Source organism: Homo sapiens, chromosome 12, assembly GCF_000001405.40.
Source record: "Homo sapiens chromosome 12, GRCh38.p14 Primary Assembly".
Taxonomy (NCBI): Eukaryota; Metazoa; Chordata; class Mammalia; order Primates; family Hominidae; genus Homo; species Homo sapiens.
Genome location: NC_000012.12, coordinates 20,675,410 through 20,701,204, shown reverse-complemented (window position 1 = coordinate 20,701,204; position 25,795 = coordinate 20,675,410). Strand labels below are relative to the sequence as shown.

Below are 25,795 nucleotides of genomic sequence, written 5' to 3'. Positions count from 1 at the left end.
AACTTTATTATCACTGAAACTTTAATTCAAACACTGTTCGAGGTTTCCATCAGCCTTAAGCACTGTAAGTTTTCAACAGTTCAAATTCTCTTGGAATTTAAAATATATATTTGGTTTTTATGCGAAATGTGTATTGAATTATCTTTTGTCTTCTTCCACTCTGCTCCAGAGGGGCACTCAAAGGAGTCTTACATTGAAGAGTCAGTGTATGGTGAGACATTCATTGGTAAGAAAGTAAATGAAACCATAAGCCAAACACTTGACATCCTATAACAAGTCCAGCACTTGGGATTATGTATTTCACAGGGTGGTGCATGCACCAGCCGGGAACATAATGTACAGACTGAAAAAGTGCAACTATTATTCCTTGTGTTTATGTTTATACTTATTAAATTCATAGTCAAATATTTTTCTCAATGGAAAACATGTCTTTGATATCTAGCTTATATATTTTGATAGACATGGGTCTGTGATAGAACATTCATAGGGAAGGTTAGCATTTATATGAAAAAAGCAGAGATTTGTTGAGTGAATATTTGTATAAAGAAAGAATAGGAGCACACAAAGCATCCCTTAAGAAACAACTATTCTCGGGGGATTGGGGGAGCGGGGAGGGACAGCATTAGGAGATATACCTAATGTAAATGACGAGTTAACGGGTGCAGCACACCAACATGGCACATGTATACGTATGTAACAAACCTGCACGTGTGCACATGTACCCTAGAACTTAAAGTATAATAATTAAAAAATAATTAAAAAAAAGAAACTTCTATCACTAAATAGCAAAGAAAAATAGCATGATTTTAACAATGGGCAAATAATCTAAATAGACATTACTTAAAAGAAGGCATGGCCAACAGGTATATGAAAAAGGTGCTCAACATCACTAGTCATTATGGAGATGCAAATAAAAATCTTTATGACATATCACTTCACATCTGTTGGCTATAACAAAAAATAAAAACTGGTTAGAATGTAAAGAAAAGGGAATCTTTGTACATGGTTAGTGGTTACATAAGTTGATGTAGTCTCTTTGGAAAATATAATAGTATGGAGGTTCCTCAAAAAACTAAAAACTATTGTTTGATACAACAATCCTAAAAAAAAAAAAAAGCAACTCTTCTCCCTACTCTGTAACATTATTCCCATTTTTATTTGCAAAATGGGAGTAATGTGATGTTTCACAAATTAAATGTTATATCTGTGCTTGGCTTAATATCTGGCACATGGCAGAAGTTCAATAAATACTAGTTTCTACTATTTCTCTCTTTTCTGTTTGGGGGGGCATTTAAATGAGCCCAGGAAAGTAATTTAACCCACATGGTCAGGTAGAGATTGCTTGCACCGCCTGGCAAGGTGTGGTTTTAGTAAATTGCATCTAAGATCTTTTTTTTTTTTTAAAGGAGAAAACAATTCTCATTCTAACTTCATTATATAGATGATATCTGGACAGAAAACTAAGAGCATCAACACTATTTACTTCTTGGTTGCTCTACCTTTAGTTCACCACAGCATGGTTGCTTTTCTTCTGAGGAGGGATATTCTGTTTTAAAAGAAGGCCTTCCAACAGGTTGCACTGAAGTTTTGCAGAACAACTGGATATTTTCTTTGGATGAAGTGTCCATTATAAACACATTCCTTGACTCTGATCTGTCAAAGTTAGTTTTTAAAGTAAAAATAAATAAATACTACGCAATTTATTAAATTTTTTTATTCAACAGTATACCACAATTCTATAGACGCAATTTAAAGTGAATCTACCTTTTGTTGTCACAGTAAGTTGGCAAATGTTTTCAATTAAAATCAACCAGGATATCTGATTAACTAATCCTGCTATTGGAACTCTGTAGCCAGCATTCTTTCTCAATCTGCCCAGTTTAAGCCTCATTATGGCAAAGAATAAATTTAAGTGTTGCCTTTGGAATAAATAATGAGGCAGAATTTTGCTAACTTTGTGGTCTTGCCAGTTTAAACTAGGAGCAAGCAGGAAAGGAAGAAGAGGAATTCAACTATTTGAATATTGATTCATTAGGATAAAGTCTTTAAAGCCTTTAAATCTATCTTCTTAGCAAAACAAATAGAAGTTTTACATTCATTATAGGTCCCTGTACCACCTTATGATTCCTGTAGCACCCAATGTGAGCCTTAAAATATGACAAAAAAGAAGAGGTCCAATTTGTGTATTGTTTTTGTTTGATAAATAAGGGAGCAACATGATTTGTGCCTTAGATTTAATTCAGGTGAAAGAACAGTCTTTGATCAGCCTTAAAGTAAAAAAGACAGCCTTGCTTCCCATGCTCAATTTCCCACCGCCCCTCACAGGACAGGATCACACACTGAACCTATTTTCTCCCTGTTCACATCAATATTTACATATCCTGTGCCCCTACTTCTTTAGGATTCCACATGGCTCAGTGCCTGCCTGATAATCTAACCTAAATCAAGGAATTCAACAAACAAAGTATTTCTCAATCTCCCTAATATTATCAGATGACCCAATTGTACATTAATAGAGGACTTCTATATCCACATAATAGGAGTGGAATAATGTTATTCCTAAAGGAATAATGTTAGGAGTCAAATTTCATGTATTGTGGCAGAAATCTATTCTGACTGAGTATATCACCTTGACTTTATGCAATGCTTGTTTTGTGTTCACTAAACCTCATCCCTCACCATTTCAATTCATACTTTCTCAAACTGAAAAATCAAGTAATAGTATAAACGATTTGCTTTGTATTAATAATATGAAGTTAAAACATCAGAGGACTTCAACAATTTAAAAATTAAGTGGATTCCTCTAGGGAGTGGGAATTGACTAAAGGAAAGGATGAGACAAGGGTCTGGTTTCAAAAAAATTATTATTAGGCTTTTGGATTCATTTTATAAGCATTCATAACTTTAATTTTTTAATTGAAAAAGAAGAGTGAGTGAAAGAGAAAAATTTAAAAACAAAAAATAAGCAAAACAAAGAGCTAATAATGTTAATCAAGACAAAAAACAAAGATATAAATACATAATATTAATGAGATAAAACACAGATATTTAGGAGTATAAAACATAAAAAGATGCATCGAATGTTGAAGTAAGTTTAATATCTTGACTTAATGGATAAGTTTCTAGCAAATATTCATTACCTATATTGATAAAAACCAGAAGAGAAAATAGCCAAGAAAGACATTATCAAAAATACTCTGAAACTATTCCCTAAACAAAGATACTAAGGATAGATGATGCACCAGAAGTGCTTTATCAAGGGATATTCTTTGAGGAAAGATAGCCGATAATGGAAACAGATAATCATTGTCTCCATTAGTTTGACAAAAATAACATTATCTTGGTAACAAAACAGCACAAAGATAGCACAGAAAGGAAAACTTCAGATCAAGCCCATAGATTATAAAAATTCTAAGTAAATGCTAGCAAATCCAAATTAACTCTTGCTCTATGATTAGAATTATTCTAAAAGATGCAACAATTGGTTAATTACAGGAAATTTATTCACCTAAATTACCACATGAATAATTCAAAATAAAAAATAGAATTTCATTACATGAAAAACATCAGTTGATAAAATTCGACATCTATTACTGATTTAAAAAACAAAGTTTAAGAAATGAAGAATATAGAGATTCTTCCTTAACAGTATCTGATACCAACAGCCAACTTCCTATATCTACTGAGTCACTAGGACTACTTTTCTAGAACAGTATTTTGCCAGGACAAGGAAAACAGGGTTTGGGAAATGCAGAGTTATACAATGTTAAATAGGTATCTTTACTACAAAACTATGAGTAAAAATATTGCCAAGCAAGAGATATACAAACCAGAAAGGTTTTAAAATAAGAAACGGATAATTATTAAATTTCTGGCTTAAATTGCAATATTCTTCAAAGGATTAAATTATATAATTCAAATTGGCCTTCTGTTTTTGGGGATTCAGATATCATATTATTTCTCATCAGTCATAATATTAAAGTCAGTGACCAGAAAATACAAATAAATTGTTTAATAATAAAATCTGCTATCATTTATCCTAAATTTATCTTTAAAAGATCCAAAGTGTTACATCTAGAATGCTAATGTCAAAGAGAAAAAATAATTATGTTAAAAACACTACTGAAAAACTTGAGATACTATAGCACATTTTAAGTTATCTAATATATGGAGGTGTTGACACAAAAATCACTGTAACTAAAATTCAAAAGTATAATGAAATATAAATATAGTCATCTCAGTTCACTTTGTGTTAGGGCAAAATAGGATCCAGCTTAAACTATTGGCACTGCATAGCTTTACTGAAGTGTCTTGATGGTTAATGCGCAAATTATTGCAAGTGTAGTATGTTCCAAGGAGGCTACAGTTCATCCCCTGTAAAAAGAGAGGGAAGGAAGCTCAATGACATGAACGGAAAGATCCTTGGGGCCTGCAGGCTCTCTCTCTTCATTTGCAACTGCAGAAGTAGAGCAAGAGTACACAGTTATTCAGAATTATTTGCATTTGGCAAATCCTTAATTGATCTCTGGCCACTTGAATAGATTCTTCCAGGAAAAGACATACGACAGTTTTCATCCAATACCCTGGGTTTGGAGCATAACTTATTCTGGAGGCCAAAGAAAAACAAGCCAAGCAGTTTCTCTTCCTTTGGTTCAAAAACATTGAATAATCAGTCCTCATTAGTTTCAAAATCAGCCCTCCAGATTTTAAATGGAGAGAGCAAGTGGCTTAGGAAGGTTGTAGTTAGATCCCGCAGATGTACTCAACCCCTCTGCTCTGCAACTGACTCGGACTCTGTCCAGCAATCAGTCCCCAAGGACTGCCACAGAGAAAGTCCTAAAGGCAACCACGCTCCTCCCTCTCTTCTCTTGGCCATCTCCTGTGAGGAAAACCTCTGTCCTGGCTTGACTTCTGGACACCAGGATGCCTCCCTTCAGACAAACTAAAAAATAGCCTCACGGCACTTGCTGCAGAGGAGTGTGTGTTGTTTAGAAACTAATTTCTCACCTAATACAAATTATCTGTGTCAGATTCAGATTTAATAAGTACTATTTTTGTGTTGAGTAATGTACGTACTTTTTCTAATCCTTAAAACAACCCAACAAACGTAATATTAGAATTCCATTTTTTAAATTAGATGGCCCAAAGCAATTAAGTGACTTGTCAAAAGCTAAACAATTTATAAGCATGAGACTCAAAATTTGAACTCAAATTTGAGTTTATCTGATTTCTTTAACCAATCTTCTCTCTTATTTCCATCAAACTAATGAGGGGATCATCACCTTTCACTGATATTTTTATGGATAAAACATAAATCGCACAGAAATTAAGGGTTAATCTCCCATAAGAATCTGATGTATTAGTCACAAAATATAAAATGAGAGAACCAAGTCTTACCTGGAGGAAGAGATCAAAGATAGCCAGTTCCTTTCAATGTGCTCAGCAAGAGGATGGACCACACACCACAGACTGAAAGAGGAAACTGAGGTAAACTCCACAGCAATTTTGAACAATTTTGCCAGGTGGGGAGAGTGTGGGTGGACACAAGCAGAGGAGATTAGGGAAAAGAAAAGATGAAGGGCATGGTCTCACCCCTGAGCGATCTCTTCTCTTTCCTCTTTCTTCCTGGCCTCTTTTTTCTGGCAGTCAGCAGAGAATTGGCCACGCTGGCAAGGCCACTGACGTGCATCTCAGCTCCCAGGGCACAGAAAGAGCTGAAGCTTTTGAGCCATTTCTTTGCAATTTGCTGCAAGTTTAAGGCCACACGTGATAAAGCTTTCTTTATGGGAGAGAGTGAATAAAAGAAAAGACCACTTGTGATCTTACTTGCTGATTCCCAGAAAACACAACTCCGCAGGGGGCAGAGGGTAAGGAACAGAAGCCAGAGGAGGGCGGAAGTTTATAACAGAGACCCCTCCTCCTTCCAGAAAGTTTTTAAGCCAACTATTCCTTAGGGACATCACTGGGATCCTTGTGTTTTCTTTGTTTGTGTGTTTTGGTTTTGGTTTGTTTTGTTTTGTCTTTAACGGTTCTTGGGCTAATTTGCTACATGGTTTTCTTTTCCATTGGTGTTCTAGAATCTTTAAGGACCAAGTATCAGGTCACAATCAAAGCTCTGCAGCGCTCTGTACAAAAAGAGTTAATTCTCAGAGACATGATCAGTTGCTCATATTTACAATTTCTATGAGTTTTGAAAACAGAAAAGAAACACGTTGAATTTTTGGCATTCAATTGTTTATTCTGCCTAATTCCAAGGATAAATAAATCCTTGCACTGAGAAAGTCCACAATTCTAATACATTCTTTTTCCAAGAGAAAAACTTTAGAGGATCTTAAGCAGTAGTAGTTTGCATTTATTTTCTACCAATAAATAAATTTGCTACCAGAATTATCCAAGATTCACCCTACTCTTAAGTGGCTGAGACTCTGGGATGGTCACTTAATTTTACTGAGTCTCAACTTCTTCCTTTGTAAAGCAGAATTTTTTTGTTTAAAAAAAAAAAAAACAGATTTATAGGGCTGTTTTAAGGATTAAATTATATAATGTATTCAAAAGCACATTGCAAATGAGCGGAAGGTATCATCATTTTATATATATATATATTTAGTTCACATAATGGTCAGAATAGTTAATATTATTCAAGCACATTTTACTACAAAAGAAAGAAAAGAAAATGCAAGAAAAATGGGTTTATATTAAACCTTGCAATGAAGCAATGGTGTTTTCACACTCTGAAAGGCCAAATATTTTACTTTAACAATCAAACCAGACTTTTCCATCGGAAATAGTGAGCAAACATCCGAATACATTGAGTGTTAGTCTAGACTTCTCAGTGTCTAACAGGTGGCCAGACCACTGTTTTATTCAAGAGGAGACAGTATTTACCAGCCCAAAGGGCATAATTTTCCTCACCAAGAAATGAAATTCTCCCTTGAGAATGTAATTTTGTCTATTCCCAACTGGCTCAGTCTCACTCTCCAACACGATTCCTTTTCTTATTTCCAGAGTCCACAGTTAATGTTACTGTTTTGAATGCACATAATGTTTACACTTATTCAGAGCTTCTTATGTGCAACCTTGCATTGGATTGTAGCCTACTTCAGCCTTTCATTCCCATTTCCAAACTCTAGATGAGGGAGTTAACAAACTTCTATAAAGGGACAAATAAGAAATATTTTAGGTTTTGTAGGACCATGCAATCTCTATCACAACCACTCACCTCTGCCATTCTGGTGGTAAATTAACCACAGACAACATATAAATGAATGCATTTCCTAAGACTGCACTAACAAAGTACTACAAGCTGAGTGACCTAAAACAGAACTTTATTGTCTCACACTTTTGGAGGCCAGAAGTCAAAAATCAAGGTGTCAGCAGAGCCATGCTCCCTCTGAGACCTGTAGGGAAGAATCCTCCTTACCTCTTCCACCTCCTGGTGTTTGCTGACAGCCTGAACTCCTTGTTTTATAGGTGTATCACTCCAACAGCTGCTTCTGTTACCACATGGCCATCTTCTCCCTTTATGTCTCTGTCCTCTGTACTTAAAAAAACGCTAGTCATCTTTGGCTGGGGACCACCCTCATGACCTCATCTTAACTTGATAAGGTCTGCTAAGACTCTCTTTTCAGGAAAGGTGACATTCACAGGTACCGGGGGTTAGGACTTCCTCATATCTTTTTGGGAGACACAATTCAAGCCAGTACACTCATATTTTCATTTTCCTCCTTACTTGAATTTTTTCATGCAATTATTTTAATCACTTCCTTCTGTATACCCTCAATTCTCCTGTTTCTCTTTCAATTTATTGATCTTCCCAGGCAAAGCTCACCTCAGATAAATCCACTTTCTTTCTTCTTAGTATTTGCATCCGCACTGTTTTAAGTGATTGAAGAACAACTCAGTAACATGCCCTTAGGGCTTATTTTATATTTATAACCACTAAACTCACTGAGTCATAGAGGCATTGCTAGACGTAATACTTTTTAATGACCCAATCACTTTACCTCTCTCAAATCTTCATTTCTGGCTGCACCCTGATTATTAGCTGATGATCTTGTCTAGGAAATTCACTAACTAAACAGAAATATCAGGAGAAATATTATACTCTGTCCTCATGACATCTACTCTCTACCCAAATGTACATTGCTATTAGCTGTCTTCCTTCTTGCTCCTACAGTCCATGTTTCTAAGCCCAAACTTTAGTCACATTCCTTGTATATATTTCCTCTCCTCCAGTTCATTTTTCACCAACTCTAATCAGGTTTTGCCTTTACCACTCCAATGCAAATATTTTCATCAAGAACATTAAAGGCATTCACACTAATAAATCCAGTGATCAATATCCAGACCTCATTTTAATTGATGTATTAGCAGAATTGTATGTCATTAATGTGCCCTTCTCTTTGATACATTTTATTCACTTGGTTTCACCACACACCCCTGGTTTTCCTCCTACTTCAGTGGTCATTTGCTCTTAGTCTTCATTGCTAGAATATTCCAAAATTCAGTCTGTGGAATATCTTCTTTGCTGTCTATATTTACTTCCTTAATGACCTTATCTGGTGTCATGGCTTTAAATATAATCTATAATATAAGATCCAATGAGGTTAGGGAATATTTTGTATACCCAAATTTGAGTTGAGTTTTTCAGTCTGGAAAAATGTATACATATATACAGGAGATATGTAGATACAGATATAGATATAGATAGATATAGATATCTACGTGTGTGTGTATTAGCTCTCTCCACTGAAAAGGTCTAGAAACAATGATCAACTAAGTAGTAATAAGTGCAACTAGCACCATAAATAAAAGCACCATGGATCCTTGATATGTGACTAATACCAGGTGTAAAGATATAAGATAGGCCTGGAATATCTTGTCATAAAAAAGAGCTGGGATGCCTTGAAGACTACATTGTGCCAATAGGATTCAGAAGCCAGCCTGAACAGGTTTCTGCTAATCAAATATAGGAAAGTTTGAGCATTGGTAAGAATAATTGTAATGGTTGAAACATATAAAATAGTAATGGTTGAAACATATAAAATCACAAAATTTATGAGTTAAAAACACTATTAAAACATCACATGGTCACTTTGGAGTAATTCTAAACACAACTTAAATATTAATAGATTTAAAACTAGTGGTATTTAGGGAGAAATTGTGTGTTTATCCTAGCTTTTCTATTCCATTCTTTCCTTAGAGTTATTACAGAGTAAAGACAAATTTCTCTTCATAGAATTCCAACTAATAAACAAAAAAGGATGAGAGAATAAGAATATTATAATTTTCTTTTCTTTCTTAGGGTAATTAATATTTATTGAAATGTAATTCAATCTTAAAGTATCCTGAAAGGATTTTGGTAAGGTTTTGAAGTTTTACTGAAATAATACCAGTGCAACCTTGGTTTAGTCCAACAAATAGTCTGAAAATAGAGACTATTCTCCAGAGATGATAAATTTATTTCTAGAACAGATTTAATAAAAACAATATTAAAAATACAAAATCCTTAAACTCATTTGAGTCAAATGCAAAGGTTAAAGAAAAAAATGTAGAAAATATACTAATTTTCAATTGCTTTTAGATTGGTAGAGCTCTAATGGATTTTATTTGCATAGCTTGGTTTTTGTGGCACAGTAGAGAAATTGAGAAAGTAGTTATTGTATAAGGATGATTCCTAACCATTTTGAAAAATTTCTGTTAATATGATCAGTTCAGACCCTCGCTATAAAGTTTTTATAATTCTATATTATAAATAAGTAGATTAATTTCTAGTAGAATTAAGCTATTAGATATTTAATTTTATAATTTTTAATTTTAGATTCAGAGAGTATATGTGCAGATTTTTTACATGGGTATATTGTGAGACACTGAGTTTTGGGGTAAAATGATTCCATCAACTAGATAGTGAGCATGGTACCCAATAGGTAGTTTTTCAGCCCTTGCCTTTCTCCTCCATCTCCCCCTCAAGTAATGTGCCATGTCTATTGTTCCCATTTTTATGTCCATGTGTACCTAATGTTTAGCCTCACTTATAAGTGAGAGTATTATAATTTTCAAACCTCTAATGAATTAATGAATTTAGCGAAAGGTAATCAATGACCAATAATATCACCAAAAATCTCAAGCCATTTTCAACATCCTGATGGAAGTTAAAAGCTTGAAACACCACCTTTGAAATAGTCCTCCTTTTTACTTCCAAAGAAAACTAATCTTATCAAATCTCAGATTAGATTTAAGTACCAGTCCATAAGAAATATAGGGAAGAGAAGAGCAAGTTAAATGACACCACAAAAGATACAATCAGCAAAATTGAAAGTAAAGAATCTATTTAGGACAAATAAGTCAATATTTTTTCCAACCAAAAACCACAAGGAAAAAAGGAGAGGAGGGAGAAATTGTATATTTTAACTTAAGAAATGAACTGACCAATTACAATGTACAGACTTCGTACACCTATTCAAAAAGAAACAAACTATAACAAGAAGACTTCTTTGTAATCTTCTTAGAAGTTTTATAACCTCAGAAATGAGAACACTGTGGATATTTGTTGTATTGAGTAATTTGTGTTAGTTTTTTTTAGGGATGATAATGGTGGTATAATTGTTTTAGAGGTAAATATAGCACTTCTTTTCTTTTTTTTTTTTACAAATCATTTACTAATAGAAGGATATGTTATATTTTCATATAGAAATTCATATATTTCTATATTTCTATATTTTCATATAGAAATTCATATATTCATATAGAATTTCATATATTTTCATATAGAGGAGATGTACTAAATATTGGGAGGTATGTATGGAACAGATTGGCAGTATATTAATTGTTTGAGCTAGGTGATAGGCACCTGGTGTTCACTCTACTATTCTCTCTTGTTTGAATACATTTGAAAATTTTCATATTGAGTTTTAAATAAATGATACAGAGACAGATATACACATATGTAAATAGATTAAAAAGTGTTAGTGGATAAATTCCAAATTTATTTCTATATTTGACTACGAAGCCAATGTTGACATAAAACTTTTGTTTTCCACTATCCATTCCACGTTTTCATTGCCCTCTGTTAGGACTTCTCATGGTGGAACATTTTTACTGATAGGATGACCTGCAAGTTAATTCTTGCAAGGTCAATTTTCTTAGTGGTTCTGTTTTTATTGGGTGACTCCAGTGTCCCACCACACTCACTATGTAACATGGAAGCATTAAGGGCTCCATGCAGAATTCTTTGCATTCCAAACACAATCTTTCTTGCCACTGTTTTGATATCAGAAACCACACTTCAGCCTAGTAAACTGGGATCAATCACTTTCTACCCTGATGGTTCAGTAACATGAGACAACAAAATATACCTAATGTTAAATGACGAGTTAACGGGTGCAGCAAACCAAAATGGCACATGTATACATATGTAACAAACCTGCACGTTGTGCACATGTACCCTAAAACTTAAAGTATAAAAAAATATCCAAATAGTAGCCTTGGCTCCAGGGTAATGGAACCACTGTGTATTCTGGTGAAAGTATCCCTTACTGGAAATTATTTCATCTGAACAAGTCGAACCAAAAATTTTAGAGATAGAAAGCACCCCCAAAGCCTGCTGAACCACATGGGGTAGAATTTACAGGCTTGGGGGTGACCTGTAAAGCTGGACTACGTGTGAATTGGTGTGAACAAGGACACACTAATCTGATGTCTCAGGCTTCCTATTTTAGGTAATGATCAGAATAATCCCTCTTCTCTGGCCTGGATGTTAGTCTCCATTAGAACTTACCCATTATTATCCCTCACACCATGTAATTTAAATTTTCCTTCCTTAAGACTTGTTTTAAGAACACTTAATTGAAGGATGGCGTTAAAGGTTCAGACTAGACTGCCAAGCAATCATCTCCCGTCCACTCAGAGCCATGACATGATTGTAAGAGGAAAACCCTGAGAGAGGAGTAAAATTCACACCTGAAGAAGAGATAGTCAATCTCGTCTTCTTGTGCTGTGTATAGTTGGAAGTGTGTGTGTGTGTGTGTGTGTGTGTGTGTGAGAGAGAGAGAAAGTGTATGTTTATAGAAAGTGCACTAACTCAACTGATGTATTTGCCTGAGATAAAGAAATATAAATGATAAGTGGAAGGTTCCTTTTGGAGCAGGAAGCTGGAGAGGGTAGTTTCAGGCCAGAGCAAAGGGGGATTTGAAAACATCAGGCTTAGGAGTTGGGATTTGATATCATAGGTAATGGGGAAATAATAGGTGTAGATTGAAGAATCAATTTCTTAGGAAACCTAGGTAGAAATACAACTGTCTATTTTATAGGACTCTAAAGCTGAATGCCAGAAATGTGGGTATTTTGGCTTTGGTGCTATTTGATTAAAGAAAGGACACAACTTAGTTGCAGAAAGTTAGATGATGACTAAATGTGGCTATGAATTCATTAGTGATAGTGAGAAAGATGTGACCACGAGAATATAAGCCCCACAAGGTTCTTTGGATATTGTAGGAAGGCCAATAGATGTCGTCTCACAACAGAGTAAGTTAGGTACCACACCATGGTATTTGCATATAAGAGGAAAGGATGCCTTCAGAGGACTGGAGGAAGTGGATTGTACAAATACTACACAAATCATAATACTGCAGAATTATTTTTATATTATACATTATCTTCACTCATAACATCGACATAGATAATCTAGGACATAATTTTAATAATTTTGAGTATATATTTACTGTAATATTTATATATTATATATATAAAACCAAGAGGCACTTCCAGTAATTCTGGCAAAAAGGGAGCATCAACATAGTATCTAAGCTAAAAAATAATAAAAATAAATACAATTGATCTAGTTTTTTTTCTGTACAGATTCTACTTTTTACAAACATTTCTCCGCCACTAAGTCGCCTAACAATACTTGTGATGGGATGATACTAAGTATTGCTACATATATTAAATGGAAGATATAGGTGAAAGGACAAGATTTATTTCAATTGCAAAATGATGAAGTTCAAAAGACTCACTCTTGTTTTTCTAGAAGTTGAAAAATTTGGCAAAGTTATTAGTAAACATATTCAGGTCTGTCGAGAGTGGTAAGAATTACATTGTTAAAAATTGTCATGTACAAATGACATCCCTATAGTGTCACTTTGGTTGGCAGTTATTTGAAAATATTGCTTTTCAGAAACAGTAAATTTAGTTAATTAAATACTCTCTGGTTTACAAATATCCTTCAAGGTCAAATTTTTGGGCCATATTAATTAAAACTTGCCAATGCCAGTTTTTTTTTTTTTTTTTTTTTTTCTGTTGGGAAGAGGTAATGACTGGTCAGAACAAATGCCCGCAGAAATCAGAGCACATTTTAATACCAAAATGCAAATCAAATTATTCAAACCAACCAAAACCTAAAACACTCTAAATTCAGATTAAATTTCCTTCAGTCACATATCCTAATATATTATAGAAAGCCAGGGAGAATCTCATTTTTATTATTTTGCATTGAGAGCTTTCAAATATTTGTAAAAGCACCAATTTTCATTTTGTGATTTGCATGATAGAAAACTTGAGGAAGAAATATCAGGGGGTGGGTGGGTTCAGTGATATTTATTACCAGTGCTTATCAACTAACAGATTGTTCTTGTTGGAACAAAAATGGTATGCATTCTTCTGTGAGAATACATTAAGACATAAACTGACAGTCATAAGTGAAAAAAACACCAGTTAAGCAAACATAATAAGCTAAAATTCCCATGCAAATATTTTACAGAGTATAAAAAATTTAGTGATTTTTTAAGCTGATGAACAAATATGTATTAAGTAAAGCCATTAAAACCTCACTAACAGGTAATATATAGATATGGTAGAATTATTAAAGTTAGCAATACTATAATACTAAATTATCCTTATAAATAGTTAAAATGAAATCATCGCTGATATAAGATGGAGTTTTTGACCCATAATCAGTTGGGAATTTTAAAAAGAAAAGGGACAAGGAAACTGCTATGAACCAACACTTTATATACACAAAGAACTATTTATTGAAGTATATATACTTCAAACAACTATTTGTAATTTCACATTGAACATCTGAGTATTTTGCCTTTTTTAGGGAGTAAAATTACCGGAAAGAAAATCTTTCTCTTCAAAAGTTATTCAAGTAGCAGTTTTCAAACTAATTCAAGGGCTAATTCACATTTGGAAACATGTATAAGTGCTCCTTGTCATAAAGGAAGTCATGGTTGAACAGTGTATCCACAAGTCATTTCACTCCAGAGTAACTAAATTGGTTTGTATTAAAGACTGAGGGGTGTCCTGGGATACCCTGCAAATTTTATGTAGTGTTCACTCCCAATCCACAGCTCTGCATTTTTTGCTTCTTAGTACCATGGACTTTACAAGGAAAGCAGGCTTGAGGAACTAGAACTTAAGTCGAAGGCCATTCTTTCTTTTAATTATGGCAGAGGAGAATTTCTGCTTATTTTTTGGTTACTAATATTGAGTAAGAGAAGTATAATTGAAGAGAAGCCATGCTTTCCTCCTATGAGTTTGTCTTTGTTTTTTCTTCATCTGGTTTTTGTTTTGAAACAGGAAAGGAAAAATATCCTGCTGTAGTTTGTTTAATTTGAAATAGGAACTTTCAATGACACGGAAATATTAAACCATTAAGGCTTACAAAGTTTTGTTATTAATTTTTTATTAATGAATTTCAAATTCTAACCTACTATCTGATCATGCTGGGCAGATTAATGCAGTGGCTGTTGTTTATTGACTGGTCAGTGTTTCATCTGTGAAAGTCAAGATTAGTAAGGTTTAATTTTTCTTAGTAGGAAAGATAAGTATTTGGCCTTTTGTGTTAGAACTTAGTAAAATAAAATATACATTAATAGAACATTTATTTTATAACAACACAAAACAATAAATTGCTGGATAATACACTCCTTTGTCTTAGGAAAACTCAGAAGATCTCAGACTATAATTTGTACAAAGTTAAATTATTGACACTAATTTTTATCTAATGTATTTGAATCCTTCATAAAACATTTTCCCCATGAGGCTTGTAGAATATTAGAAAAAGAATTAAACCTTCTTTCTAGTTTTCTGTTATATGATACTAGTTCTTATTATATCAAAATATTCAGCCTCTGAGTATATGAAAATAATCAGTAGTTTACAGTTCTGATTATGTGAAAATACTCAGTACCACGGAATGTCATTTTGTGGGTTTCATTTTAAGTTAAAAATTAAAAAATTAAATAACTTTGCTTCAAGAAAATAAACCAAATTTAAACATTCTTGAGAATACTTACCTATGGTGATTTATTATTACTCTTTGAAGCATTTTTGGTTATTGAATTATTTGCATAACTAAAGAACCACTTCTTAATGCAAAGCAATGAGGAAATCATTGCTTCATTGTCAGAACATGAACATGTTCAACATTTTTTATCTGTAAAGAGAAGGCTTTTCTTCTGTGCTCCACAACTTTTCAAGGAAGCAGAAACCCAAGGATACCAATGTGTGTCAAGGAAATCAACCTTAAAAACATGTGGAGAAAAACTAGCTGTATCTGGAAAGAAAATGTGGATTCCTTTTAGAGACTTAAACATATGTCAAAAGCTAATTTTGTTTTCCATTTATATATAATTCTATACACTGTATTTTATGGTCTTACCTACACTGATACTAGGTCAGTATTTTTGAATCAGCAGGTAAACACTGATTTCCACTATGGAAATGAAGCCTTTATCTTCAGTTTCGTGTCTTCATATTTTGCCAAAAAATGTTCTTTTTTTTTTTTTTTTTTTTTTTGAGGCAAAATTTAACTCCTGTTGCCCAGGCTGGAGTGCAATGGTGCAATCTCAGCTCACCATAACCTCTGCCTCCCAGGTTCAAGCGATTCTGCCTCAGCCTCCTGGGTAGCTGGGATTACAGACATGCGCCACCACACCTGAATCATTTTGTATTTTTAGTAAAGACGGGGTTTCTCCGTGTTGGTCAGGCTGGTGTCGAACTCCCGACCTCAGGTGATCCACCAGCCTTGGCCTCCCAAAGTGCTGGGATTACAGGCGTGAGCCACTGCGCCCGGCCCAAAAATGTTCATTTTACTTCACCATTGTTAGCCTGCTGTTAGAATGATTTGCTGGTGGGAACACAAAAAGCACTTCAAGTTAGGTAAAAGCACCATTAGGTAAGGTCAAAGCAACATGTATTTCAACAAATACCATGTGTTGGCAATAGCACACATTGCCTAACATCCATGGTGCATAACATAGACTGGAAAATATGTTACCATTCTCTGAGCATGGGTCTTTGGTGTGAAACACACAAATACGTATGCAAATCTCAATTTAAGTTATGTATAGTTTTTAGCTCAACTCATTGTTTGTAGTGTAATTCATTCCCAATAAGAATTTGAATATCTTCCAGATGAACAAATTGATGTGTGAACATAGGACCTAAAACTGATATATTTCTTAAAAAGAACAATTTAATCTTGGAATATTCTTTACCTAAAATTGCTGATTTCTTAATCTTAAAATTGAATTTTGTTGAAGATTTAAAAAATGGACTGACAATATCAGCAAATTCATAAAGACACAAACGACCTAGGACAATGGTCATAAAATGTGTTGCTGCTTGTTCGATCAATGAAATAAACTCAGTTTGGCTTCAAAGTACATAGATATTTTAGCTTTCAATTATCTGGAATTGAGCTATTAGCATTTGAACTTCTATTGATATTTCTTTCACACATTAGCTAATAATCTCTAAATAAGGGGGATCTTGTTGGTTTTTCTAGACTATGAAAGTTCATAGAACTTTGTTTTATTGGAGCGTTCTAACAGTTTGAAAGGAAGTTTATTTACAAATGGCATATAAGTCAGGAAAGGCATTAAACTAGAATCAGGGTTAGGATGACAGAAGAGGACAAGACCCTTATTGAGGTTTCCATTATTATTTTAGAAGTACTATAAATGATGAGGACAATGGAGAGCCCGATACTGACATGGAAGCACCAAGAATACCTCCCACAGTAGAATATAAATGATTTTTAGATTATTCACTTCTCATTAATCAGGATTTGATAATCACACAATTAGTTCACTTTTATAAATTAATAATTTCAAACTTTAGACTTTATTTATAATGATAATTTTTATACTTTTATTACTTAGAAAATAATTTATATTTTTCCATCATTTAAACAAAGAGTAGGCCTGAGTCTCATGCCTTTTGCACAGCTTTTACCTTCAAAGAAAGTTATCTGGGTAAGATAGGCAGGAAATATGGGGAAATTGCAAATTAACAGTCTACATACATCTAATATGAACAGTCTGTAAGATATTCCTTTTCTTTCGTTTTACTGGGATTGCAACGGAAAGATTTGTTCTGGTATTCAACCAAAATAGACAGAATCGGGAATTCTATTTTTAGGAAGTAAATACTTTCTTGAACATAATATGAGAAAATTTCTTCATTCATCAGATGAAGACTAATATAGATATATCCCTGTACAGAGCTACTGTCTTCATCTTTTATTGAGAGCCAAACCAGGTCTTATCTAAATGACAAAAAATATTACAGCTAACAAAAGCAAAAGTGGTGCTTTTATCAAGGAAACCAATATTTTAAAGGTTAATTTAGATAGATATATAACCGGAAAGACATTTATTAGCATGCTGAAAATAACACTGATGACACTCAGAATACACCTGGTCTCTTACTTTATTTAACAGAGAACCATGGCATCCAGGTAACCAGTTCCAACTTTTCCTACCATTGATTTTATGGTTTTCTAAACAATTATCTTTTTCCCTAAGTGGGCTAGAAACTCTTTCATTTGAAAGACCTGAGTTTAATGGCACCTATAAATAGGCTCATATAAAAATGTAGTAAATTGCAACAAATACATTGGCACCACAGGAAGTAAGCTCTGGAGTTAGATGTGAACATAATAATATTGCTGTCACCAAAAAGGGGGAGAACTCTACTGGCAGAAAATGTCCCTTAGCATCCTTTGAGATGTACTGGGTGTGTATGAAAGTCACAAACTTAGTGGATCTTCATCCCTTTATTTATCCCAATTGACGTCTAGCTGTAATAGCAATTTATTTTTAAAGAAAAATGTATCAATCTGCCTGGATTGCTGAACACAGTTCTGGAATGAAGATGTTCTAATTGCTTTGGCCACTATTATTCCTCTTATTTCCTGTACCTTAAAACAAAACAAACAAACAAAACCAGGCAGTTTGCTGAGACTTCCACCATAGTAGCCAAGCTGCCCCACTAGTTGGACTATACAGCTTTGATGAAACTGTCAATAGACTGTGATGGACTTCCAACTGTCCTGCCAGTCCACTCACTCCAAACATAGCTCTATGTTCAATTAATATTTATGTTAGAGATGGACGCATTTGGAAAATGGGAAAATATTGACTTTGCTAAGTACTTAGATGCAAGGGGTATGAGAAGATAAGATAAATGCTTTTTTCCCCTTAATTGCAAGGAAAGAAAAATAGTTAAATTCACTGGCAAAATTTGACTTATAGTAATTTTTGCAAACATGGAGATACACAGGTAAAACTAAGAAAATGAAAACAATTTAGTAAGTTCTAAATAATGAAGACCTGGTGTTAATTCAGAAATATACTGAAATATATTTTAATTATTTAGGTAGAGGCTGCATCCACTTGATCCTTTTTACATTTTCCAACTTATTGGAGAATTTGCCTTGAAACCATGTATATTTTTTGTCGTATTATCTTTGCCTTATTTTTTAAAATGCCATGAATTATTGTAAAATAATGCTTTGAAAGGGGGGAGTACAATATCCATTTATGAGAAACAAAAGTATTTTTAATGTAAACATTCCTTTCTACTACGTCAGAGAAAATAAAAACTGGAAATCACAATCAAGGTTTACTTAGAAGGTAAGATTGTTTAGATAATGAGCAGGTCTGTATATAAGTACTCAAGGAAGAATCATAACAAACAGTGTTGGAAAGAAATGGACACCAACTATAAAATATGGTATTGGTTAACAGTTTTTCATCTGGGAGATATGGACCCAGAATTCATTCAGTTAGCAAAAGTTACTAGTGAAAAAACATGCTTTGCAGCATCCTCATTTAACTGGCAATAAAACTATATCAGATTATCATTTAAATTAGAAAAGGTAGATGATTGGTTGTCCATCGACCTCCATGCAAATGAATCATCATTCTCTTACTGGGCTTGGAGAGAACTACAATGTATAAAAATGGTGATTAAAATATAACTTTATAAAAATGTTTCCCTTTTCCTTTTTTAAAAAAAGAGTTTACTATCTACAGAAACAAAAAAATCTTCATATTTACATCAAGATAACTATCATGACATATATAATAATATGAAATAAAATATTGAAAGTGAGTATCAACTTTTTAAATAGAGGTTTGGCTCACAGCATAAACAAGTGTAGATAAACAAACAAACCAAAACAAAACAAACAAAAAAAAAGACTTTCAATAATAACCCAATCTTCAAACAATCTCTCTATAATCTCCCCGGCCAGAAGAAGCATGACTGACAATGGGCCAGACTGCCGATGGAAGCTACCCCAACAAACAGCGTGTGGAACACCACAACAGGGGTTGTCAGTGGGACCTTCACCCCTGAAAGACAAACTACAACAGTTGCCAAGAATCAGGCTTTTCCTATGTCAACACAAAAACCCTGTGTTGAAATATTCTCCTTCATCTCTTGCTATATAACCCAGAGTGATTTTTCTGTTTCCTTTTCTTTCTCTACCACATATTTTGCAGCAAATTAAGAAGACACAGGCTATCACGCTGAAGTACAATTTCCCAAGCCTTCTCTGGCATCATTTAGAATTCTAACCTGATTAAAAGACCTGACTTCAGCTCTTAGGTGTTTAGGTATAAAGAATGCCATCCCCTTAAATGGTGATTTGATCTTAGTTGAGTGACATCCATACTCATAGACAGTTCCTATACATTCATTAGGCAAGTAGACTGGAAAATGCCTCAGTCTTTCGGGTTTGAGGCTGGTGATAGAGCTCCTTCAAGTGGTGCATAGCAGTAATGTAATACCAAACACGTGGCCCTCTCACCCAGCCCTTGAGTGCCCTCCATCAGCAAAAGGCCCTTTATTGAAGCTAAATGGAGGAGGGCATTTGGAATGGCTGCCTCCCAAAGACACTCCAGAGTGAACTTCCTTCTGTTTGTTCACATGTATTCAGTCATTTGCTACAGCTATTCTGAGTTACTTAAACCACAAAAATCTCTTTACATATGCACACACATGCACACAAGCACCCTCTCAAACCATTCCCTTCTGTCTCTCTTTCACACACACACACACACACACACACACACACACACACACACACAGTGTTGGCAGGATGTATCAGAATTCAAATAATGCTCTGGAACTTTCATCCCTCAGTACTAAGAGCAAAAGCTGCTTAGTTGGTAACCTACATTTCCTGCACTGTTTCCTTGCTAAGCCACACCATCTCCTTTGTGATTTGGTTTCCTTTATGATTTATTATATCACAGTGACCACTATATATATATCTTAATATAAATGTTACTAAATTGTGGAGCCAGCAATCGTGGCCTTCAGTGTGTATGTGTGTGCGTGCATGGGTGTGAATATGTTTTACATGTATCTATGTGGGAGCTTATATACACACACACATATATATTCCCTCCTTAAAAAATCCTTAGAAGCTGGTGTTGCAATGTGAAAGCTTCTTTGAGCAAAAAGTTTTTAACAATGTACCTCACTGTAAAAATATACACACAAAATGCGAAGAATCCCAAAATGCAATAGCCATTTGCCCATCTCAAATTTCTACAGTGTTGTGTCTAAATGTTGTGCTGGCTTGAAGAGAGTCTTTGACAAGTCAATCTGTTTGGAAACACAGCCCATTCTATCCATTGTCACTGGTCTGGCTTTTGGGTTGGTATCTCCTCGCCTCTTGGTTTCCCTTTCTCTTCTTCTTCTTCCTTGATAGCCTGGATCTGTTCTGAAGAGTGCGACTGAGGGGTCTGGTCCAGGGATTGATTTTCTATGCCTGCCAACCGTTGCTCCTCTTCAATGACTTTCTTCCACATCTTGTGGTTCTGTAAGAGGTGCTGAGTTATTTGGCAGTAGATTTTTCTCCTTTTGAAAGTCTTCTTTTCTAAAATAAATAAAATAAAAAACACCAAATCAGACTACTTAGTTGTGTGCTGAGCACATGAACGTTATCTCTTTTCAGATAATTAAGAGGAGTTAATCCATAACCTTATTATATTATATTATATTATATATATATTATTATATATATAATATATATATTATAATACTGTATATTATAATAATGCAGTTTTGGAGAATGGGGAAAAAAGAGGAAGATGGCAATAATCATTAAAATATCACTGACAAATAACTAGGGACAGTATTTAATATTTGGCAATGTTCAGTGCAAGATTCTGCTTATATCTTGGTATTATTCTCATTACATTCAGGCTCTCAAGACTTTCCACATAGATCACTGAAATAACTTCTTGTTAGTCTGTCTCTGTCAATCAATTTAATTCACAAACATCTACAAGACTGATATATTTAAAGATGGTTTTGATGTTCCTCATCTGCTTCATGTGGACTAAAAAATTAATTTCAGGCTGGGTGCAGTGGCTCACGTCTGTGAATCCCAGCACTTTGGGAGGCCAAGGCGGGCGAATCACGAGCTCAGGAGATTGAGACCATCCTGGCTAACACGGTGAAACCCTGTCTCTACTAAAAATACAAAAAATTAACCAGGCGTGGTGGCAGGCGCCAGTAGTCCCAGCTACTCAGGAGGTTGAGGCAGGAGAATGGTGTGAACCCAGGAGGCGGAGCTTGCAGTGAGCTGAGATAGAGCCACTGCACTCCAGCCTGGGCAACAGAGCGAGATTCCATCTCAAAAAAATAAAATAAACTAAAAATTAATTTCAAAGTGTAGTTAACTACACTTAACTACTCTGCTTTTCTTATTTTTAAAACATCTACACTGAACTCATATTTTCAAGCTGGTATTGTCTATCCTGAAATGTTCTTTGCAACCACTTGAGAGTATATATTCCTTCATTTTTTAAAGACTCCATCAGATTTCACTGAATTCTTCTAAGAAATAATCTCTTTCTTCTAAATTCCCATGATACTCCATATGTACCTCCTAGAGTATATACTGTTTCTGTTTTTATTTTTTCCTTTTTCTTCTCCTTATCTTTATCTCTTCTTCTGGTAACTGTGCGTCCAAAATCATTTAGGGGGAACTTTTCCCCCTTCCTTCAATTATGTGGTTCCAGAAAAGGTTGTTAAATTCTACTTCTGCCCTCACAACCAGTCTACAAAATTGTTTCACAGTGACTGGCCAATGGGTGTGTGTGTGGCCCAAGTCGGGCCTGAGTCCTCCCCTGAGATATTTCTCATTTGCACAGAATGAATGTCGGTTTGCGAGGTGTAATTGGAGATCCTTTCTCCTTTGCTTATGCATCTGGCATGAAGTGAACTTAGAGCTGGCTACAGTTCCAGCTTCATGAAGAAAGCAAGGCTGAAAGAACAAGCTGTTAGGCAGGTGAGGCAGAGACAAACGCAGGAACAAGTAAGCACTGATAATAGCCAACATCATGTTTACATGAACCAATAATGTTCTCTTTTTGTATATACTCATTCCATTGGAATTTTATAACTTCTAACAAAAAAAAGGTTCTACCTTAGCATACCTCCTTTAAGAAACTTGTCTTGGAGGGTGTCTTCAAGACGGTAGGCTAGAGGCATCTGGTACTTGCCTGCTCCACAGAGAAGAACCAATGGAGTGAGTAGGTAATCAGACTTATCATCTAAAATATAATTTTGAATTCAACAGAGAAATTACAGGAAATGCCTAAGGTAAGGAAGAAGAGAGAAGTAAGGCAGCCTGCTCAGCTAGCATCATCTATGAGCCTAGAGAGGCTCCCTAAAATATGAGGAAAGATTAAGTGAATGAATCCAGCCATCCACATTCCCACCATGTACTCCTGCAGTCCTAGCCTTGGGGAAGTCTGTCAACCCATGTGGTCTCTGAAACTGATACAGAGAGCTGCCTGGAAATCATGTGATGGCATTGCTTCAGAGAGGGAGCTCACACCAGGACCCACATATCCACCAAGTCCTGAGCAGCTTAGGAGAGGCACATGTGGCCCACTGCTGCCACCACTGGGGTCTAAAGACTGATTCACATCACATCCCTGTCCCCAGCAAAATTTTACAACAGGCTTCCACTAATAACCACACTCTAAGCCACTGAAGGAATCATAGATACTACTGATACTGTTTACAGTCAAATAAATCATAGAGACTATGCTACTGCCTGCACCCAAAATCAAAAGCCAAGGAACTTTACCCAACTGGCAGCATAGATACACCTTCAAGAAAAAGTTTCCCTGACAAAAGATAATTTAATAAATCGGCTGTAATCTCAGCACTTTGGAAGGCTGAGACAGGCAGATCACGAGGTCTGGAGATTGAGACCATCCTGGCTAACATGGTAAAACCCCGTCTCTACTAAAAATACAAAAAATTAGCCAGGCATGGTGGCGGGCACCTGTAATCCCAGCTACTTGGAAGGCTGAGGCAGGAGAATTGCTTGAACCCGGGAGGCGGAGGTTGCAGTAAGCCAAGATGGTGCCACTGCACTCCAGCCTGGGTGACAGAGCGAGACTCTGTCTCAAATAAAAAGAAAAGAAAAAAAAATTAGAACAAGCAACTGCTACACCAGATACACAGATACCACTGCAAAGACACAAGAGATGTGAAAAAGCAAGAAAATATGACACCTCCAAATGAACAAAATAATCCTCCAGCAACAGATTCCAATGAATAAGAATTTTTTGAAATCCCAGATAATTCAAAATAACAATATTAAAGCCTATCTCAGTGAGATAGACTACAACTCAGAAAAACAATTCATAATATGAATGAGAAATTTACTAAAGAGACAGGTATAAAAACAAAGAACCAAAGACAAACTCTGGAATGAAGAATTCATTGAAAGAAATACAAAATACATTCAAAAGTTTTAACAATAGACTATATCAAGTTGAAGAAAGAATCAGAATTTGAAGACAGGTCTTTTGACATAACCCAGTCAGATGAACACTAAAAACATAAAAAATAATAATAATGAACAAAGCTTGCATGACATATTTGAATTTTCAGTGTCCCAGAAGGTGAAAAGAAAATAAAAGGGACAGAAAACCTGTTTAACAAAATTATAGGTGAAAACTTCCCAAGTCTAACAAAAAGAGATTTAGACATCTAGATGCAGGAAGCTCAGAGAAACTCACACAAATAAAATTCAAGGTCCTCCCCGTGGTGCATTGTAGCCAAACTTTCAAAAGTCAAAGATGGCTGGGTGCGGTGGCTCACGCCTGTAATCCCAGCACTTTCGGAGGCCAAGACAGGCAGATCACGAGGTCAGGAGATCGAGACAATCCTGCCTAACACGGTGAAACTCCATCTCTACTAAAAATACAAAAAATTAGCCAGGCATGGTGGCGTGTGCCTGTAGTCCCAGCTACTCGGGAGGCTGAGGCAGGAGAATGGTGTGAACCCAGGAGGCGGAGCTTGCAGTGAGCTGAGATCACGCCACTGCACTCCAGCATGGGGGACAGAGCGAGACTCCATCTCAAAAAAAAAAAAAAAAAAAGTCAAAGACATAGAGAGTTCTAAAAACAGCAAAAGAAAAGTATCTAGTAACTTATAAGGAAACTCCAATCAGACTAACAGATTTCTCAGCAGAAATCATTCAGTCCAGGAGATAATGGGATAATATATTCAAGTCACTGAAAGAAAAAACCATATACCCAGCCAAGTTGTCCTTTATAAATGAAGGAAAAATAAAGTCTTTTCTCACAGAAGCAAAGCTCAGAGAATTCATCACCACTAGACCAGCACTACAAGAAATACCTCAGGGAGGCTGACATGTGAAAGCAAAAGGATGATATCTATCATTATGAAAACACTTGAAAGTATAAAACCCACTGGTAGAGCAAACACAAATAAGGAAATGAAAGGAATCAAATGTTAGCACTACAGAAAACCACCCAACTGCAATGATAAACAATAAGACAGAGAGAGAGAGAGAGAAAGGAACAAAAGATATACATAACAATTATAAATCAATTAACAAAATGACAGGAATGAAGACTCAGATATCGATAATCACCTTGGGTGTAAACAGACTAAGATTTCCATTCACAAGACATAGAATGGGTGAATTGATTAAAGAACATGACTTAATTATGTGCTAAGAAGCTCATCTCACCTGTACACAGATACAGACTAGAAGTAAAAGATAGAAAAGACAGATATAGACTAGAAGTGAAAGACAGAAAAATATACTTCATGCAAACAAAAGCAAAAAAGCAAGAGTAGCTATACTTATATTAGATGAAACAGAAATTAAGTCAAAACAGTAAAAAGAAGACACAGTCATTATATAATGACAACGAGATCAATTCAGTAAGAGGATAGAATAGTTCTAAACATATATGCACCAATACCAGAGCAACCAGATACTAAACCTGATCTTAGCCAAAAGGCTGAGAAGCAGTATCACACCCAGATATATGCAAAGCAAACATTAATAGATCTAAAGGGAGAGAGACACTTCAACACAAAAATAGTTGAGGAATTCAACATCCCACTCTCAGAACCAGACAGCTCATCTAGACAGAAAATTAATAAATAAACGTTGGATTTAAACTGCATTTTAGGCCAATGGACTTCACAGATA

At 35.0% G+C, this 25,795-nt stretch overlaps 2 protein-coding genes across 8 annotated transcripts in view; both read right to left on the bottom strand.

Annotated features, from left to right (window-relative positions):
- Positions 1–5,873, bottom strand: part of SLCO1C1 (solute carrier organic anion transporter family member 1C1) — a 58,055-nt gene extending 52,182 nt beyond the window's left edge. For 2 of the 4 annotated variants that reach the window (NM_001145946.2, NM_001145945.2), the window contains exons 1-3: positions 5,593–5,873; positions 5,398–5,469; positions 1,500–1,653 (exon numbers count right to left, since the gene is read on the bottom strand). In NM_001145946.2, coding sequence (NP_001139418.1) covers positions 1,500–1,628 — 129 coding nt within the window. In that variant the 5' untranslated portion in view covers positions 1,629–1,653; positions 5,398–5,469; positions 5,593–5,873. Of the gene's footprint in view, positions 1–1,499; positions 1,654–5,397 lie in introns of all 4 variants that reach the window. The other 2 variants (NM_017435.5, NM_001145944.2) reach the window with 2 other exon arrangements.
- The window catches only part of PDE3A (phosphodiesterase 3A), a 320,047-nt gene continuing 306,873 nt past the window's right edge, over positions 12,622–25,795 (bottom strand). For 3 of the 4 annotated variants that reach the window (NM_000921.5, NM_001378407.1, NM_001244683.2), the window contains one exon: positions 12,622–21,175. In NM_000921.5, coding sequence (NP_000912.3) covers positions 20,934–21,175 — 242 coding nt within the window. In that variant the 3' untranslated portion in view covers positions 12,622–20,933. Of the gene's footprint in view, positions 21,176–22,732; positions 22,809–25,795 lie in introns of all 4 variants that reach the window. The other variant, NM_001378408.1, reaches the window with a different exon arrangement.